The following is a 20,287-nucleotide window of genomic DNA, read 5'->3' on the forward strand; positions in this document are numbered from 1 at the left end:
AAGGGGCTTCCTAACACATCTTCCCCAGTGACTCTGAGATCTCAACCAGTGCTCAAAACGTTCTTCTTCCCTCAATCCAGAGAAGGAAACTCATTCTCTACTTAAGTGAGATAACCCAAGTGCAAAGCTTAAGTGATCTGTAAATATTACCCATTATTATTATTACCATTTTTCCCTCCTTCTCCTCCTTGCTACCCAGCTCACTTGCATATTAATGGGTTTAGACAAAAAAAAGGAAGGAAAATCCTTTAGTGGGGAAAGAGGGTTGGGAAGTGGGGAAGAATTTGGCTGGAGGACAGCTCGAGAGCTCCTGGACAAATTTATTTGTTCTTTTTAAATATTTTTATTTTAGTTTGGCCAACTGAGTCCCTGGCATGGACTAGGCCCTGAGGATACAGCAGGTCACAAGGGCCATGTGAATTTTTACAGTGTCTTAGAAATCAATAAGGTAATATCAATTACAATTTAAAAATATAAACTCTTACAGGTTTCTGTCCATTAATACTATTCAGGGATCTTTTTGTATAGAAATAAAAGAGCCAGTACACAATATATATTTAAAATAATGTTTCTTACCAGTTCTGTTTGTAGGGCAGAAGCAGAAAACAACCTGAATGCCTTTCAACAGAAGAAAGGTTGAATAAATTGTGGCACACCCATACTGTGGAACATTAAGCAGACACTAAAAAGAATGAGTTAGGTCTAAACTGGGTAGCTTGGAGGAATTTCCACAATTAAGTGAGAAAAAGAAAACTGATTGTTCAAGGTTGAGCGCCAAAATTAATTTCATCAGAAAATCCTGGATTGCTTCTAGGCACTGGAGATCTAGGGAATGCTTAAGTTGCCTCCAGGCTTTTGCTACTATAAAAGGTGCTACAATGTACATCCTTATACAGGAATCTTTGAAAAGGAATCTTTTGACATTTTAGTAGCTATTGCAAATTATTCTCCTGGCTGGGCTCAGCGGCTCACTCCTGTGATCCCAGCACTTTGGGAGGCTGAGGCAGGCGAATCGCTTGAGCCCAGGAGTTCAAGACTACGCTGGGTAACATAGTGAGGCCCCATCTCTATTAAAAAAAAAAAAAATCCCAGCACTTTGGGAGGCCAAGGCAGGCGAATCACTTGAGCTCAGGAGTTTGAGAACAGCCTGGGCAACATGGCAAGACCCCATCTCTACTAAAACTATAAAAAAATAGCTGGGCACAGTGGCACGTGCCTGTGGTCCCAGCTACTCAGGAGGCAGAGGTAGGAGGATGGCTTCAGCCCAGAGGGTGGAGGTTGCAGTGAGCTGAGATCACCCACTGCACTCCAGCCTGGGTGTCAGGGCAAGACCCTGTCTCCAACAACAACAACAACAACAACAAAAAGAAAGAAAGAAAGAAAGAAAGAAAGAAAGAAAGAAAGAAAGAAAGAAAGAAAGAAGGAAAGAAAGAAAGGAAAAGAAAAGAAAAGAAAAAGGTTTTAAATTTTAAAAATTTCTCCAAAAATTTGAACTAATTTACATGCTTCCCTGTAATATATGAGAGGGCCTATTTCCCTTCATTTTCACCAACACTGGATATTATTAATCTTTTTAATCTTGGGACTCAAATAGTCAAAAATATCATTTATTATATTTATATAAATTTAAGCATCTTAATGTGCTTATAATCTTTTAAACACATTGAGCATCTTTTAATGTGGTTATATCTATTTGTATGTCTTCTGTGACTTATGTTGCTCATTTTTCTTTGGGGCTATCTGCCTTTATTGACTTGTAAGAACTTTTTTTTTTTTTGAGATAGAGTCTCACTCTTGTTCCCCGGGCTGGAGTGCAGTGGCGCAATCTCAGCTCACTGCAACCTCCGCCTCCTGGGTTCAAGCAATTCTCCTGTATCAGCCTTCCAAGTAACTGGGATTACAGGCACCCACCACAATGCCTGCCTAATTTTTATATTTTTAGTAGAGATGGAGTTTCGCCATGTTGGTCTTGCTGATCTTGAACTGACCTCAGGTGATCTGCCCACCTCGGCCTCTCAAAGTGCTGGTACTACAGGCATGAGCCACTGTGCCCAGCTTTTAAGAATTTTTTTATGCTAGGGAAATTTGTCTATCAACTGGCTCTTCTTTTGTGACATTTTCTCAAATTGTATTTTGTCTTTTAAAAAACACAGTGGGAAGGGGGCAAGGGGGCAAGGGGCAGGGGGCAGCTGGGCTAGGTGGCTCAAGACTATAATCCCAGCCCTTTGGGCTGAGGCAAGAGGATTGCCTGAGGCCAGGAGTTTGAGATCAGCCTGGGCAACATGGCAATGTCCCATCACTACAAAAAAACTTTTTTTTTTAATATTTATTTATTTATTTAGAAATGGAGTCTCACTCTATCACCCAGGCTGGAGTGCAGTGGTGCAATCTTGGCTCATTGCAACCTCCATCTCCTGAGTTCAAGCGATTCTCCTGCCTCAGCCTCCTGAGTAGCTGAGATTTTAGGCACCCACCACCACACCTAGCTAATTTTTGTATTTTTTGTAGAGACGGGGTTTCACCATGTTGGCCAGGCTAGTCTGGAACTCCTGACTTCAAGTGATCTGCCTACCTCGGCCTCCCAAAGTGCTGGGATTATAGACGTGAGCCACTGGGCCTGGCCAAAAATTTTTTTTTAAATACAGAGGGGTAGGAAAAAAATATGAAACATTTCAAGCCTATAGACAAGTATAGAGAATAATAAAAAGAATATCCATATACCCACCACTACTCAGTTTCATCAAACATTTTTACTATGGTTGTTTTGTGTTAAGAAATAAAACAATACAGAAAGTTGACAGCCCAAGTGACCCTCCCTAATCCTACTCCCTTCTCCCTACCCGGAGCTCATCTTTATTTTGATTGTCATGTTTATCATGCCTAAGAATGCCTTTAGACTTTTACCAAGGTATTTATGTTTTATGTTATACATGGTTAAACTTTTTTTTTTTTTTTTTTGAGACAGAGTCTCACTCTGTTGCCCAGGCTGGAGTGGAGTGGCCCGATCTCAGCTCACTGCAACCTCCACCTCCTGGGTTCAAGCAATTCTTCTGCCTCAGCCTCCCAAATAGCTGGGACTACAGATGCATGCCACCATGCCCGGCTAATTTTTGTATTTTTAGTAGAGACGGGGTTTCACCATATTGGCCAGACTGGTCTTGAACTCCTGACCTCGTGATCTGCCCACCTTGGCCTCCCAAAGTGCTGGGATAACCGCGCCTGGCCGGTTAAACCTTATTATAAATTTGTTGTGTCAACTTAGCTAAGCTGGAACTACATTTCCCGGAATTTCCTTCCCTGAATGGTTTTGGGCATGATGCTTAGGACACAGAAGTGAAGCAGCAGCCGTGTTTAGCAGTGCAGAGCAGGTGCTATGGCAGCTCACACGCATTATGGCAGATCTACTGGCTCGTTTTGCAGATGGAGGCCACAGCTGGGCGTGTAGGTCCTTCAGCTCCCACCAGACCCTCTTCTGTTTTCCCAGCTCCTGAGCCGAGTATGTGCTTAGTTTCAGAATGAAGGACACCAGACTTCCTTGCAAGTCACCTGCATTAACAAAATGAGAGGCTTGGAGGTGGTGTGAGACTGAGGCAGGTTTTAGCTCATTCTTGCCCTTCTTCCTGGGTTCCAGTTTGTCCTAATTTTCCCACTTCACATCCATCTTTCCTTCCCCAATGCCTGCCTGTGGACTTTAGTCCCAGACCCAGACAAAGAAGTAACATCCTCACAGAGAGCTATTACCAGTTCCCACAGTTGTGTAAGGTCAAATTCCCATAATAAAATCCTTTATTCTTTGGGGTTGAGTATGATGAAAAAAAAAAATCCTTTATTCTGTTAGGCACAGTGGTGTGCACCTGTAATCTCAGCTACTCAGGAGGCTGAGGCAAGAGAATCATTGAGTCCAGGAGTTCAAGATGTGCCTGGGCAACAGAGCAAGATCCCCATCTCAAAAAAAAAAATCCTTTATTCTTTGTCACTCCTAGGGGTCCTGCTTCTCCGATTGGATCATGACTAATAGAGAATCTGCTACTGGACATGGTTCCAAGAATAACAGAACCTTAGTGGGTGATGGGTTCAGTCTGGGTCATCTAGAATTGATTCTGTGACCTAAATAGATTTAAAGGCATAAATAACCCTTACCAGAGGTTGTCAGGGGTAAAGAGATCACTGGTTCTTCATGGTATGCCATAGGAAAAAAAGTTATTTATTTATTTAATTTTAATTTTAATTTTAATTTATTTATTTTTGAGACAGAGTCTGACACTCTTGTTGCCTAGGCTGGAGTGCAATGGCAAGATCTCGGCTCAGTGCAACCTTTGCCTCCTGGGTTCAAGCGATTCTCCTGCCTTAGCCTCTCAAGTAGCTGAGAATACCGGCACCCAGCCCCACGACCGGCTAATTTTTGTATTTTTAGTAGAGATGGGGTTTCACCATGTTGGCCAGGCTGGTCTCGAACTGACCTCAGGTGATCTGCCCGCCTCGGCCTCCCAAAGTGCTGGGATTACAGGTGTGAGCCACTGCACTCAGCCAAAAAAGTTATTTAAATGATCACTTGCAGACACTGTAATCAGGTGTCTATAGAAGTCAAATCTTTGATTGACCAAATGTTTGCTTGAATATAACAATTATGATGACATTGGTGAGTTGTTTCTAAGTGCCCTGAAGAATTTAGGGAAAGAATATGAGGAGTCGGGATTTTGAATTCCCATCTCAAGGTCCATGGAAAGGACCTGAAAGTTTTGTGGCTGTCCTATGATGTAAATTATGTTCCCAACCTCTCAGGTCTCTTCTGCTAAAAATTGTGTCATTGATTGGGAAGAAGAGAGACTGTAAAAATTGCGATGAAGATATATATGGCCAGGTTCCAACAAATCTGAGCCCCTAAATTCTGCTGAATCTCTTTTCACAGTAGAAGTAACTTTCCACTCTTATCTGAAAAAGTGAATCTCAGCTAGGCGCAGTGGCTCATGCCTGTAATCCCAGCATTTTGGGAGGCTGAGGCAGGAGGATTGCTTAAGCCCATGAGCTCAAGACCTGCCTGTGCAACTCTGTCTCTACAAAAAATTTAAAAAATTAGCCAATGGTTTCTTTGGTTTCAAAAAGAACTAAAAATAACAAAACCAAAAAAAAAAAAAACAGGAAAGAAAAAGAAAAATTAGCTGGGCATGAGGCAGGAGGATCCATTTAGCCCAGGAGTTCAAGGTTACAATGAGATATGATCACATCACTTCACTCCAGCCTGGGTGACAGAGCAAGACCCTGTCTCAAAAAAAAGAAGTGAATCTCCCCTTGCCTGAAGGTCTTGTAATGGCCTTCCTTGAAGTGGTGGCCCTCTGGATTTACCTCCACTGCCTCTCATTGCTGGTAGACTCAAGTTCAAACAGGCTACAGAGAATGAAGTACAAAGCCTTTCCCATGAGACAGTGGTATGATACACACCAAAACAATTTCATGATGTTGCCAATTTACATATACAGAAACCTGGGGAAATGTATGGACATGGATCCCAAAGGTGTGAGATGAGGACAGAAGAAATATAAAGTCATATTAGGCTGAATCTATTTATAAGGGCCAACTAAGCAGAGATTCCTGATTCAATGTCCTAGCTTGAGTGAGTCTAACAGTTTGTTCAGTTGGTTGATATCAACTTCTAGATGAAGTTGGCACACTGTAGAAGAGGTATCAAATGGCTAAGGAAGGCTAGAATGCTAGGGTAGACTTGCCATGGAAGACCTATTTACCTGCCCCTGTAATATGTGCCCAGGTTAGTTCTAGAAGACACTTCCTTCATCAAGCCTATGAGAAATGCATTCAAGAGGAAAGCCCTGATATCCTTGAAGAACTCGATGGTGGCTATTCTCTGTAGGCCCGAAATGACGGAGGGAACTTATGCTATCAAGCTGGGCTCCCAAAATTCAATGGGGATGATGTGACAAGTAGGTGTGGTTACCATAATGGCTCATGAAAAATGTGAACATGGCGAGAGGGATGGAGGTTGGACAGGGGCTTAGTAACATGGATTTCCATTCCCTAAAACCAATCTGACTACAGCCATTGCTGAGTGCCCAACCTGCCAACAGCAGAGACCAACACTGAGCCCCCAATATGAAAACCAACTAGCCACCTAGTGCCAGGGTAATCACATAGGGGCATTACTTTGTTCTTACTGGAATATCCATTTACTGTGACATAGATTTGCTTTCTCTGCCCACAATGCTTCTGCCAAAATCAACATCTCTGAACTTATAGAATGCTTTGGCATTCCATATAGCATTGCTTCTGACAAAAGAATTATTTCACAGCAAGTAAAGAACAGCAATGGGCTCAGGCTCATGGTATTCACTGGTCTTACCATTACCCTGAAGCAGCTGGCTTGAAAGAACAGTAGGATGACCTTTTGAAGACTTAATTATGGCACTAGCTGGATAGTAACATGTTGCAGGGCATGGGTAATGTCCTTCAGATGCAAGATGTGCTCTAAACCGGCAACCAACATATGGTGCTGGGAGAAATCCCAAACCAGGATTTGTGGGTCAGAGGGTAGAAATGAGAACAGATCTCCTCAATATAACACATAGTGTTTCTCTAGCAAAATTTTTGCTTCCTATCTCGGTAACTTTGTGCTCTGCTGATCTAGAGATACTAGAGTTCCCAAGAGTGAACTATTTCCACATGAGACACAGCAGTGGTTTCACTGAACTGGCAGTTAAGACTGTCGCTGGCTACTTGGGCTTCTCTCACCAGTGAATCAATAGGCACTGAAGAGTATTATCAGACTCTCTGGGTGACTGATCCTGACTGTCAGGGGGATAATGGGAACAACATGGTATTTCCATATCCTGTGATTAAAATCAATAGCAAAACTACAACTAAATAAAGGAAGGACTGATAATGGTCCAGACCAGGAACAAGTGGGCACTGAATTTTCACAAAGTATAAAGATCTGTGTAACCAGCATCCAGATGAAGAAATAGAACACTGGCCGGGCACGGTGGCTCACATCTGTAATCCCAGCACTTTGGGAGGCTGAGGCGGGTGGATCACCCAAGGTCAGGAGTTTGAGACCAGCCAGCCTGACCAACATGGTGAAACCCTGTCTCTATTAAAAATACAAAATTTGCTCGGCATGGTGGCACATGCCTGTAATCCCAGCTACTTGGGAGGCTGAGGCAGGAGAATCGTTTGAACTGGGAGGCAGAGGTTGCAATGAGCCAAGATCATGCTACTGCACTCCAGTCTGGGCAACAATAGTGAAATTCAATCTCAAAAAAAAAGAAAATAAATAGAACACTGCTACCACCACAGAAGTTCCCGTCATGCCCTTTGCCACTCATTAACCACCCCCAAGCATTCTCCTGACTTCTAGTAGCATAGATAAGTTTGCCTTGTTTTTTTATTTTTTTATTTTTTTGAGACAAGAGTCTCACTCTGTCACCCAGGCTGGAGTGCAGTGGCGCAACTTTATTCTACTGTTGGTAGACATTCTGGTAGTTTCTGATTTGGGGCTATTGCAAATAATGCTGCTGTGAACATTCTGAAACATGTCTCTTGTTAAACACATATGTATATTTGTGTTGGGTATACACTATACCTAGGATAGGAACTGCTGGATCAGAGGGTTAAGCTTAAGTAAATACTGCTTATCCATTTTTCGAAAGTGTTTCTACCAATTTATATGCCCACACTCAGTGGATAAGAGTTCCAGATGCTTCATATTATCATCAACCCTCGGTATTTTCTTTTTCTTTTTCTTTTTCTTTTTCTTTTTTTTTTTTTTTTTGAGACAGAGTTTTGCTCTTGTTGCCCAGGCTGGAGTGCAATGGCTCACTACAACCTCCGCCTCCCAGGCTCAAGCGATTCTCCTGACTCAGCCTCCCAGGTAGCTGGGATTATAGGTGTGCACCACCACACCTGGCTAATTTTGTATTTTTAGTAGAGATGGGGTTTCACGATGTTGGTCAGGCTGGTCTCGAACTCCTGACCTCAAGTGATCCACCCGCCTCAGCCTCACACCTGCCTTGGCCTCCTAAAGTGCTGGGATTTACAGGTGTGAGCCACCGTGCCCAGCCAGCCCTTGGTATTTTCCATCTTCTGGTGCGTGTATAGTGGATCACGATGTGATTTGAATTTGCATTTCCCTGATGACTCACAGAGTTCAGTATGTTTCATACTTTTTTTTTTTTTGAGACAGAGTCTCGCTCTTTCGCCCAGGCTGGAGTGCAGTGGTGCAGTCTTGGCTCACTGCAACCTCCGCCTCCCAGGTTCAAGCAATTCTCCTGCCTCAGCCTCCGAGTAGCTGAGATTACAGGCACCCACCACAACACCCAGCTAGTTTTTGTATTTTTAGTAGAGATGGGGTTTCACCATGTTAGCCAGGCTGGTCTCAAACTCCTGACCTCAAGTGATCTGCCCGCCTTGGCCTCCCAAAGTGCTGGGATTACAGGCATGGGCCACCGCGCCCAGCCACATATGGTTTTAAGCTATTCAGATATTTCCTTTTATAAAGTGCCTAGTTCATGTACTAACCCATCTCAGTGGTCTTTTTAAAGTCTGTTGTAGGGCTGGGTGCGGTGGCTTACGCCTGTAATCCCAGCACTTTGGGAGGCCAAGGCGGGTGGATCACCTGAGGTCAGGAGTTCAAGACCAGCCTGGACAACATGGTGAAACCCCATCTCTACTAAAAATACAAAAAATTAGCTGGGCATGGTGGCGGGTGCCTGTAATCCCAGCTACTCAGGAGGCTGGGGCAGGAGAATCGCTTGAACCCAGGAGGCAGAGGTTGCAGTGAGCCGAGTGCCATTGCACTCCAGCCTGGGCAACAAGAGTGAAACTCCATCTCTAAATAAATAAATAAATGAATAAAAATAAAGTCTGTTATTCGTTTGGCTTTATTTTTGGTATACTTAACAAAAATTAGCTGGGTGTGGTGGCACATGCCTGTAATCCCAGCTACTGAAGCAGGAAAATCGCTGGAACCTGGGAGGCAAAGGTTGCAGTGAGCCAAGATTGTGCCACTGCACTCTAGCCTGGGCAACTCCATCTCAGAAAAAAAAAAAAAAAGGACTACTAAAAGAATGAAAAGGCAGGCCACAGAGTGACAGAGGTTATCTGCTTCTATGTATATTACAACGAAGGACTTGATTCCAAATTATCTATACATAAAACTCTTACAATAAGAAAAACATAGTGACCCAATACAAAAATAAGCAAACCAGTTGAACAGGCACTTCACACAAAAGAGGATATCCAAGTGGCTGATAAGCATGTAAAAAGATGCTCACAATGAACGGTCTTCAGGGAAATAAATGCAAATTAAAACCACATACCTAGGGGATTTGAAACAAGGCAGTTCTGTTAACCTCTCTTGCTGTATTTACTAATATGTAAATTGGAGATATTAATGCTTATGCTCAGGAATTTACAGTCTGAAGAAGGAATAAATGACACAACAGAAAACTGATAATTATGTATGGAAACACAGAATTATATACTAAAAGTCCAAGGTTAGAGACATAGTGGCCATATCTTTTACCCCTAAATCAACTCAAATCAAATCAAATCAAATCCTGAGCTCAAGCGATCCTCCCGCCTCGGCCTCCCACACAAGTACTGGGATGCCAGGCATGAGCCACTGCACCTGGCCAAAAAAAATATTAAAGAAAGAACGAAATTGGTAATCACAGCGCATCTCAAGGCAGGGAAACTAAAGGGCTGAGGCCAGATGGAAAATGTACTTATCACTGTGCTTATAAATAAAATATTTACATTTTAAAACAAACAAACAAAAAGTCCGCGCGGTCCTAGGTGAATCTGGCCGAGGCTTCTGCGTCAAGGACGGCGCGGGTCAGCTGAGGCCAAGACCGCAGGCACTGCCCTACCGCTCTCCAGATCACAGCTCCGCCTCTGCAAGGCCCCGGGGAAACGGGCATCCCTTCTTCAGTGAGCAAAGGAGAAAGACGGAGCCCGGTGGCTGGGTGTTTCGCCCAGGATCACCAGCGAGCTCAGAGTCCTCCCCACGACCGCCCCAGGGTGGGCATTTTTAAAAGCGGAGGAAGGGAGGGAACACACTCTTTGGTGCTGTGCCCACCTTGCCTCGCACAGAGCGGGCGCTCACAGGCTTTGGGGGCCCCGCCCGGACCGCAGTGGGGAGAGGCCGCCCCATGCCCCGCCCCGCCAAATTTAAGAGCCTTCGCCGAGCGCCAGGAGGTTCCCAGACAACCGGTCTTGCTCGCTGCCTTTTGCAGAATCTTCTCACTTCTCCCGAGCTCCCTTCCTTGCGTCCGTCCGGGCAACGGCCGCGTCATGCCTAGCCCCAGGCCGCGAGGCAGCCCGCCACCCGCTCCCTCGGGCTCTCGGGTCCGACCTCCGCGCTCTGGCCGCTCTCCGGCGCCCAGGTCCCCTACTGGCCCGAACACGCCCCGCGCTCCCGGACGCTTCGAGTCCCCTTTCTCGGTCGAGGCCATCCTGGCGAGGCCCGACCCCTGCGCGCCGGCGGCCTCCCAGCCGTCGGGCTCCGCCTGCGTCCACCCGGCCTTCTGGACCGCTGCTTCCCTGTGCGCCACCGGGGGTCTGCCCTGGGCTTGCCCGACATCGTGGCTGCCCGCCTACCTGAGCGTAGGTTTTTACCCTGTGCCAGGGCCGCGCGTGGCTCCCGTCTGCGGCCTGCTGGGCTTCGGCGTCACAGGTACTGCGGTCCCGGCGCCCGCACGCGGGGGACTGGGCGGGGGCTGGAGAGCCTAGGTCGCCACTGCCGGCGCCCCAGTGCAGGAGAGGGCACTGAGTGTGAGAATCACACACGGCTGGAGTGGGAAGGGGCTCTGCCACCGTTTACCTTGCAGTTGAAGCCGAGGACCGCGACAGTCTTGCTGAAAAAGACCCCGGCGCGAGGCTTCCCCCGCACGCTGCTGAGGTGGGAGAGGGTGGGTGTGAGGGCGGCGCAGCGCCTGAATGCGGTGGGCAGGAGGCCAGCGCTGGGGCTGCAAGGGGACCCAGCCCTGCTCCCGGTCTCCGCGTCCCTTGACTCCCTCGCACACCCCGGGGTAGCGCTTAGTGACAGAGACGCTTCCCAAAGCGGCTCTCGACCCGAACCAATGGCCCTGTTTTTTTTTTTTACGGGGTAGGGGGAAGTGGACGCTCCGGGCGGTGCTGTTGAGCGAGGAGCTGTTAGGAGCTGGTCAAGGCTCACACCCCACTACCGCCTCCACTGCTCACGTCTGTGAACTTGAGCTACACACTTCGCTCTGAGCCTGCGTGCATGCAATGCTCTTAAGTAGTGCTTAAGGGCCAGGCACTTAAATCTCATGAGAAAGTAATTGTAAGGTTGGGCGCGGTGGCTCACGCCTGTAATTTCAGCACTTTGGAAGACCGAGGCGGGTGGATCACCTGAAGTCAGGAGTTCAAGGCCAGCCTGGCCAACATGGTGAAACCACATCTTTACTTAAAAGACAAAAAATTGGCCGGGCGCGGTGGCTCACGCCTGTAATCCCAGCACTTTGGGAGGCCGAGACGGGCGGATCACGAGGTCAGGAGATCGAGACCATCCTGGCTAACACGGTGAAACCCCGTCTCTACTAAAAATACAAAAATTAGCCGGGCATGGTGGCGCGTGCCTGTAGTCCCAGCTACACAGGAGGCTGAGGCAGGAGAATGGCGTGAACCCGGGAGGCGGAGCTTGCAGTGAGTCGAGATCGCGCCACTGCACTCCAGCCTGGGCGACAGAGCGAAACTCCGTCTCAAAAAAAAAAAAAAAAAAAAAGACAAAAAATTAGGAGGGCGTGGTGGCGCGCGCTTGTAATCCCAGCTACTCAGGAGGCTAAAGCAGGAGAATCACTTGAACCCGGGAGGTTGAGGTTGCATTAAGCCGAGATTGCGCCACTGCACTCTAGCCTGGGCAACAGAGTGAGACTCCGTCTCAAACAAACAAATCAACAAAAAAAAGTAACTATAGAGGGAACTTTGCCTTCTAGCATTAAACATCCACCTACACGTGCTTTTGCCATTTTTGGTTGCCAGGTTCATGTTTCCCCATGTCCCCACGAAGAAAACAGGAGCAAAGTTAGTCCAAGCCTTATCAACCCATACAAAGATAGTTGTAACACAGTCTTGCCGGGTTCCTACTCCGTGGCACCCACCCCAATCCTGCATTTCCTCACCCCATTTCAGCAGTGCATTAACCCTTGGACTCGCAGCCCCATCTAAATTCAATACCACTGGATCTGGGAGCTGTGCCCATCACTCCCAGTCACCTTTCTCTGAGCTCTTCACACACCTGAGGTCTGAATTACAGTTTACTACTTCATGTTACAGTTGCCTCATTTTCAAGTTAGTTGTTTTCTTTTGTTCTGTTTTGTTTTGTTTTGAGACGGAGTCTCACTCTGTCTCCCAGGCTGGAGTGCAGTGGCGCTATCTCTGCTCACTACAACCTCCTCCTTCCGGTCTCAAGTGATTCTCCTGCCTTAGCCTCTGGAGTGGCTGGAATTACAAGCCCCAGCACCATGCCCGGCTAATTTTTTTTATTTTTTTATTTTTTTTTTTTGAGGCGGAGTCTTGCTCTGTCCTTAGGCTGGAGTGCAGTGGTGCAATCTCGGCTCACTGCAAGCTCCGCCTCCCGGGTTCACGCCATTCTCCTGCCTCAGCCTCCCGAGTAGCTGGTACTGCAGGCACATGCCGCCACACCTGGCTAATTTTTTGTATTTTTAGTAGAGACGGGGTTTCACCATGTTAGCCAGGATGGTCTTGATCTCCTGACCTCGTGATGTATTTCTTTTTCTGTGAACTACTGTTCTTGTATTTTGCCCATATGTATAGTTGGTTATTTAAAACAATCTATTTGTAGATGCTCTTTTCTATTGAGGAAATTAGCCCTGGCTGGGTGCAGTGGCTCACCCCTGTAACTCCCTCACTTTGGGAGGCCAAGGCGGGTGGACTACTTCAGCTCAGGAGTTGAGACCAGCCTGGGCAACATGGCAAAACCCCGTCTCTACTAAAAACACAAAAATTAGCTGGGCATGGTGGTGCGCACCTTGGCGGGGGCTGAAGTGGGAGGATTGCTTGTGCCTGGGAGGCAGAGGTTGCAGTGAGCCGAGGTCAAGCCACTGAACTCCAGCCTGGGCAACAGAACAAGACACTGTCTCAAAAAATTAAAAAAGAAATTAGCCCTTTAACTGTAATGAACTACAAATGTTTTTCTGTGTATTGGCCTTTGACTTTGATTATGGCGGTATTCTTTTGTTACATAGAAAAAATTTTAATTTTTATGTTTGATGTGTTTTTACAAATCCTTTTTTTTTTCTTTTTTGAGACAGGTTCTCTGTCACTCATGCTGGAGTGCAGTGGTGCGATCACGGCTCACTGCAGCCTCAATGTTCCAGGCTTAAGCACTCCTCCTTAGCTTCCTGAGTAGCAGGGACCACAGGCATGCGCTACCATACTCAACTAATTTAAAACATTTTTTTTTGTAGAGATGGAATCTCACAATGCCTGTCTCAGCCTCCCGAGTAGCAGGGACCACAGGCATGCGCTACCATACTCGACTAATTTAAAACATTTATTTTGTAGAGATGGAATCTCACAATGTTACCCAGGCTGATCTTGAACTCCTGGGCTCAAGTGATCCTCCTGCCTCAGCCTCCCAAACTGCTGGGATTACAGGCATGAGCCACTGTGCCTGGCCCCACATCTTATATGATACTTGGAAAGAACTTCCTCACTGTGAAGTCATAAAATAACTTCCCCATTTTTTTCTAAATTTTTGTGGGTTTACCTTTTTACATTTAAATATTTCCTCCATTTAGATTTTTTTTAGTGCAAGGTATTGGGTATGGATCCAGCTTAATTTTTCCCAGATCTGGAAATAATCCCTCTTCCCCATTGGATTATCACTTCTGTTTTAATTTTTATAATAACCATTGACTTTCTTCTTGCTCTGTGCCTGGCACAGTGCTAAGCACCCTGTAAGCATCATATGCTTTTGTTTTTGTTGTTGTGGTAGTTGTTGTTGTTGAGACGGGGTCTTACTCTATTGGCAAGGAGTGATCTCGGCTTGGCTCACTACAACCTCTGCCTCCCGAGCTCAAGTGATCCTCCTGCTTCAGTCTCCCAAGCAGCGGGGTCTACAGTTGTGCACCACCACACCTGACTAATTTTTGTATTTTTTGTAGAGATAGGGTTTTACCATGTTGCCCAGGGTGGTCTCAAACTCCTGGGCTCAAGCGATGGGCCCATCTCAGTCTCTCAAAGTGCTGGGATTATAGGCATGAGCCACTGTGCCTAGACAGCACCATGTTAAAATCCTGACATCTCTGGAAGTAGGGATTATTATCACCATTTTACATGTGAGGAAATCAAGGCTCACAGAAGTACATTGTCTTGCCCAAGGTCCTCTGGCTGGTAATTGGTGGCAGAGCTAGGATTCCAACTAGAGCTTTTTTTTTTTTTTTTTTTTTTTTTAAGACAGAGTCTCACTCTATCACCCAGGCTGGAATACAGTGGCACAACCTTGGCTCACTGCAACTTCCGCCTTCCAGGTTCAAGCGATTCTCCTGCCTCAGCCTCCTGAGTAGCTGGGATTACAGGTGCCCACCACCACATCTGGCTAATTTTTGTATTTTTAGTAGAGACGGGGTTTCGCCAAGTTGGCCAGGCTGGTCTTGAACTCCTGACTTCAGGCTATCCGCCTGCCTCAGCCTCCCAAAGTGCTGGGATTACAGGTATAAGCCACCATGCCCGGCCTCAACTAGAGCTCTTAAGGAACACACAGTACAGCCTACTTTCTTCTCCAAAGGTCAATTTCTGATTCTGAAACAAGGCTGACTAGATACACCAGGCTGTATGTCTGATGGGCTTTTCCTGATCTTTTGGTCTACCTTGGCAGGCACAGTGTAAGCCTAGTGGGCCCAGTGGTTGGAGTCCTAAGCAGCCGGGACCCCAGATACACTCCCTTTGTTGGGGCAGTCTGTCTGCCAGCCCTGAGGACTCCCCAAGGCTAGTGGGGGCTGAGTGGCCTTAGCATTATGCTTGCCATTCTTCTGCCTAGAATACTATACCCCCAGATAGCCCAATGGCTCACTCCCTCATCCCCATCAAGATTTGACTTAGGAACTGCTCTTGGTTGATGCATCTCCACTGGCCCACAGCTTGGTCTCATTTATTCCCGTGGCTTAAAATACCATCTATATAAGCTGATGACTCCCAATTTTTTTTTTAATTGAGACAGAGTCTTGCACTGTCACCCAGGATGGAGTAGAGTGGGCTCTATCTTGGCTCACTGCAACCTCTGCTTCCCGGACTCAAGCAGTTCTCCTGCCTCAGCCTCCTGAGTAGCTGGGATTACAGGCATGTGCCACCATGCCTGGCTAATTTTTGTATTTTTAGTAGAGACGGGGTTTCACCATGTTGGCCAGGCTGGTCTTGAACTCCTGATCTCAAGCGATCCGCCCCCTTCAGCCTCCCAAAGTGCTGGAATTACAGGCATGAGCCAACGTGCTCAGTGATGACTCCCAAATTTGTATCCTCAGCTCAACCCTCTCTTCTGACTTCTATCTCTTCTGACCTCATTTCTAAGATGTAAGCTCCATAACGACAGAGATTTTCTGTTTTGTCCTGAAACCATGCATGACACACAGTAGACATTCAAAAAGTATAATATTTGTTCAGTGAATTAAAAGGGTGAACCCCTGGGGGTCTCTTCTCTGCCCATTCCATGGCGTTGCCAGAAGCAGTCAAGGAGAGGAAAGGAAGGCAAAGAGAAGGGAGGTTTGGCAACTCCTCTTAGGGGCCAGAAGTGAAGCCACTTGGCTAGAGAGTAGTGGTGGCAGACAGTCTCATTGCATTGTCCCTTCTTTCCCATTTGTTTGTTTCCTGTTATTTCTGCACAGTCTCTTTCCACTGTCTTCTTGCACTGTTACCTGGCCAAGGGGAAGGCAAGGTAGCAGAGCTGTGTGTGCCTTCTCATTTTGCCCAGATGGGAGTGCAGGGGGCTTCTGGCTAACCTCCCCTGCTGCTGGATAACCTCCCCTGCTGCTGGTTGCTCTTTAGGGTTGGAGCTGGCTCACTGCTCAGGACTCTGGGCCTTCCCAGACTGGGCCCCAACGGAGGACCTACAGGACACTGAGAGACAGCAAAAGAGAGTCCGAACTATGTTTAACTTGGAGCAGCTGGAAGAGTTGGAGAAAGTGTTTGCAAAACAGCACAATCTGGTGGGGAAGAAGAGAGCCCAGCTGGCAGCTCGGCTCAAACTTACAGAGAACCAGGTGGGAGTAGGGACTCCTATTGGGCCTGGGCTGCACCTGGGGACAAACACTACCTCAGCAAGGCCCTAAAAGGAGGGTGGGAGGAAGATATGGGCCCTCTTCCCTGTGCCAGGCTGTTGAGGGGACAGGCCCTGACTTTTTGCACACTCTATATAATGAAAAAAAAAAGTCCCATTTGAAGTCACATAATGTGAACAACTTGGAATGTTAACTTAGATTATTAGTCTAAAAATTGATAATAAAGGATTTCCATGCTAAATAAGGACCTGCCAGTAAAATTAAGTAGATGTGGCCAGGTGCGGTGGCTCACGCCTCTAATCCCAGCACTTTGGGAGGCTGAGGTGGGCAGATCACAAGGTCAGGAGTTCAAGACCAGCCCAGCCAACATAGTGAAACCCTGTCTCTACTAAAAATACAAAAAAATCAGCTGGGTGCCTATAATCCCAGCTACTTAGGAGGCCGATGCAGGAGAATCGCTTGAGCCTGGGAGGCAGAGGTTGCAGTGAGCGGAGATCACGCCACTGCACTCCAGCTTGGGCAACATTTGGAGAGCCCGTCTCAAAAAAAAAAAAAAAAAAGAAGAAGAAGAAAAAAATTAAGTAGATATTAAAGAGTCAATATAATCAATATTTCTTTGACCCCTATATTCCTCTCTAGCTATTATATAATTTCTCTGCTCCTTTTACAGGCAAACTTCTCAACAACTTGCCATGTTCACTTTGTCCGTGTCCTCGCCTCCCACTCACTGCTTCACACATTCCAACATGACTTTTCCCTACCATTCCATCAAAACTTCTCAGCAAGGTCTCTAATAACCTCCATGTTGCCAGAGCCAACAATATGACACTTTCCTTTCTTCAGCTCAGTCCACCACTCAGCAGCTCTTAGTACTGGACAGTCAGCCACCCCATCCCTTATTGAAACATGTTCCTCATAGCCTCCAGACACCATGCTGTCTAGTTTTCCTCCCAGCTCTGCCTCCTTGGCAGGCTACTCTTCCCTTGGGGACCTCGAAATCTCTTCCCAGCTGGTCTCATCTATTCCCGTGGCTTAAAATACCATCTATAAGCCAATGACTCCCAAATTTGTATCCTCAGCACAACCATCTCATCTGACTTATATCTCTAACTACCTTCTTGGTGATTCCACTTAGATGTCTCATGGGCACATATCTCAAACCCAAGTCTAAACCTCAATTCCTGACTTTTTTCTTGCCCAAATATGTTCCTTTCCCATATATGACCCCACCGTCCACCTGGTTACTCAAAAACCCAATCATCCTAGATTCCTCCTTCTCCTCCGCTTCCAACCATCATTGAGCCTTGTCATCTCTACCTCCAAAATACAGCTGGAGTGGCTTCACTTCTCTCTGTCACCCCTAATGTACGCCCCAGCTCTCCCGGGGCCGCTGCAGTAGCCTCCCTCCTGTCTTCCTGCTTCTGCTGCCATCCATGCTTCACACAGCAGCTAGGTGCACAGTGCACTTCAGATGTAAATAGGATTATGTGGGCCCACGTAAAAGCCTCATGGGTGACATTCCTTATCTATGGCCTTCCAGGTCCTGGGTGATCTGGCACCCGCTGACCTCTCCCATTTCCCTCCCTTGACTTTCTCCTCTCACTGTCATCCGTGCTCTCCTCCTTCCTGGTCCTCAAACACTCCAAGCTTGGTTCCATTTCAGAGCCTTCCTACAGGTTGTTCCCTGCCCTGCAGACCTGCTCTTCTCTGTCCCCATCAGGTGGGCCTCTCTCTCTTTGAGCCTCAGCTTTAATGCTGGCTCCTTAGGGAGGCCTCCTCTGCCCAAACCCCTGTTTGTACCCCCTTTTGTGTTTACATAGCTCTTTGTTTGTTTACATGTTTCTTGCCAGTGTTTCTTCACTAGCTCATGAGCTCCACGAGGGCAGGCAGCTTGCCTCTGTTGCTCACCACTGTATCAGCATCACCTAGGATGGTGCTTAGCACATACTGGAAACTCAGTAAATACTCAGATGAATGAATGGTGTCTGGAATTGTAGAAAGGGGTGTTTTGGAGGAGGTACCTCCCTGAGAAGGAAGAGCAAATATTGGCCAGGCAGAGAGGGGTGTTCACTCCAGGAATTAGGAAGCAGTGGGACCTGATGGTCACATTCTGATCTCTGCCCACTCTCCAATTATAGGTGAGAGTCTGGTTCCAGAACCGCAGGGTCAAGTATCAGAAGCAGCAAAAGCTGAGGGCAGCAGTTACATCTGCCGAGGCTGCCTCCCTGGATGAGCCTTCCAGCAGCTCCATCGCCAGTATCCAGAGTGATGATGCCGAGTCAGGAGTGGACGGCTGAAGACTGGGACAGAGGCCCTAGCCAGGCTGCCTGGACTAGTTCCTCCTGGGGGTACCCACTGGAGCTCCCTGCCTCACACCTCAACGAAAAGCCTCCTCAACCAGAAGAATCTGAGCTGTCAAGCAGGGACCCCCTTTTCTATACTGATTCCTGGAAACTGGAATAATGTAATGATTGGAGGCACAGACTCTGGCCTTCAGCTATGTCCTTGGCCAACCTATGGAACTTCCGAGCCTTTTTTCTTTATCTGTATAATGGGTGCATTCATAACTTAGATCACCCAGGGGTGAGAAGATGTCTGTAAAGCAATAATGTGCCATGCACAGTGCAAAGTGTGTGGTTACTGTTAAGGCTTGTAGGCCCCTGAGTAGAGAAGACCAACTGGAAAAAAAAAAGTTTTTTTCTTCTGCTGTCACCCCACAACAATCAACACAGAACACTTCTGTGACCAAACGTATAGGGGTGTACCCCACATTCCAACCTCCAGTTCAGCAAATTCTGACATGATCTACCTGCAGGTAGTGTCTGACCCCACAGATTCAGGGCTCATTCCACATGGCAGCCCCTCCTTTCTTTTTTTTTTGAGACAGACTGCAGTGGCGCGATCTTGGCTCACCGCCACCTCCGCCTCCCGGGTTCAAGCGATTCTCCTGCCTCAGCCTCCCGAGCAGCTGGGACTATAGGCGCATGCCACCATGCCTGGCTAATTTTTATATTTTTAGTAGAGACGGGGTTTCATCATATGGTCAGGCTGGTCTTGAACTGCTGACCTTGTGATCCACCCACCTCGGCCTCCCAAAGTGCTGGGATTACATGTGTGAGCCACCACCCGGCCCAACCCTGCCCTTTTTGTTTTTTATGGAGTCTTAAGGTCTACCAGTCATCAGTCAACTCATTAGCATATGAAAAGACATCACTTCAGAGATTCTAGGGATTTTAGGAGTTCTATGCCAGGAAATCGAGATGAAGACCAAATATATATTTCATAATATCACAGCTCCCCTCACCTGGGGGAGTAATACCTGTACCAGCAATTAATATTTTCCTGGCCTGGCTGTGGAGAAGGAACCTCTTTGAATAAGCATCTGGGCATAGAAGACTCTTCACCATCAGAAGGAGTTGAGAGCAAAGAAGAGAAGGTAGACTGTTTAGCCCACTTCACAAAGTTTCCCAACGTTTTCTTGTTTTGTCTGAACTGTTACCATTCTCAGAAGAAGCTCAGGCCCAGCAGCAAAGACAAGGACTCGCTCTGTCACCCAGACTGGAGTGCAGTGGTGCAATCATAGCTCACGGCAGCCTCAACCTCCTGGGCTCTAGTGATCCTCCCACCTTAGCCTCCTAAGCAGCTGGGACTACAGGCGCGTGACACCACGCCTGGCTAATTTTTAACATTTTTTGTAGAGACAACGTCCACTTGTTGCCCAGGCTGGTCTTGAATTCCAGGCTTCAAGTGGTTCTCCTGCCTTGGCCTCCCAAAGCCCCATCTTTTTATAGAATAATTTGTGTATGCCAAGGCTGGCATTTTGTCATAAACTCTGCTGTGTTTTCACAGGACAGTTATAATTTCCCCCTTTCATGACTCTGACTCATGGCTCCTTTTTCTTCTCAAGAATGTGCTCGATTTCTCTGAAAGAAGCCTGCTGCCAGGATTTGCAGAGCTGATTTCTGTAGCACAGACCATTCAGATTCTAGAATGGCTCTTGGGGACTGAGCTGAGGGATG

At 47.0% G+C, this 20,287-nt stretch overlaps 1 protein-coding gene across 1 annotated transcript, besides 2 other annotated features; it reads left to right on the top strand.

Moving 5' to 3' along the window:
• Positions 2,436–2,605: a silencer, noted in NCBI's record as "fragment chr2:73421928-73422097 (GRCh37/hg19 assembly coordinates)". NCBI's record gives its function as "represses an EF-1alpha promoter that drives an FKBP-Casp9 reporter gene in an ReSE screen in K562 erythroleukemia cells {active_cell/tissue: K562}" and the evidence as "EXISTENCE:reporter gene assay evidence [ECO:0000049][PMID:32094911]".
• On the top strand, positions 10,210–20,149 carry NOTO (notochord homeobox). Its single transcript, NM_001134462.2, has 3 exons — positions 10,210–10,684; positions 16,036–16,250; positions 18,407–20,149. Exons 1-3 carry the CDS (start codon positions 10,303–10,305, stop codon positions 18,563–18,565), a joined length of 756 nt encoding a protein of 251 aa, NP_001127934.1. The 5' UTR covers positions 10,210–10,302; the 3' UTR covers positions 18,566–20,149.
• Positions 11,053–11,604: an enhancer, noted in NCBI's record as "H3K27ac-H3K4me1 hESC enhancer chr2:73430545-73431096 (GRCh37/hg19 assembly coordinates)". NCBI's record gives its function as "activates a minimal SCP1, AML or CMV promoter by ChIP-STARR-seq in naive H9 embryonic stem cells {active_cell/tissue: H9 hESC(naive)}" and the evidence as "EXISTENCE:reporter gene assay evidence [ECO:0000049][PMID:30033119]".

This window comes from Homo sapiens, chromosome 2, assembly GCF_000001405.40.
Source record: "Homo sapiens chromosome 2, GRCh38.p14 Primary Assembly".
Taxonomy (NCBI): Eukaryota; Metazoa; Chordata; class Mammalia; order Primates; family Hominidae; genus Homo; species Homo sapiens.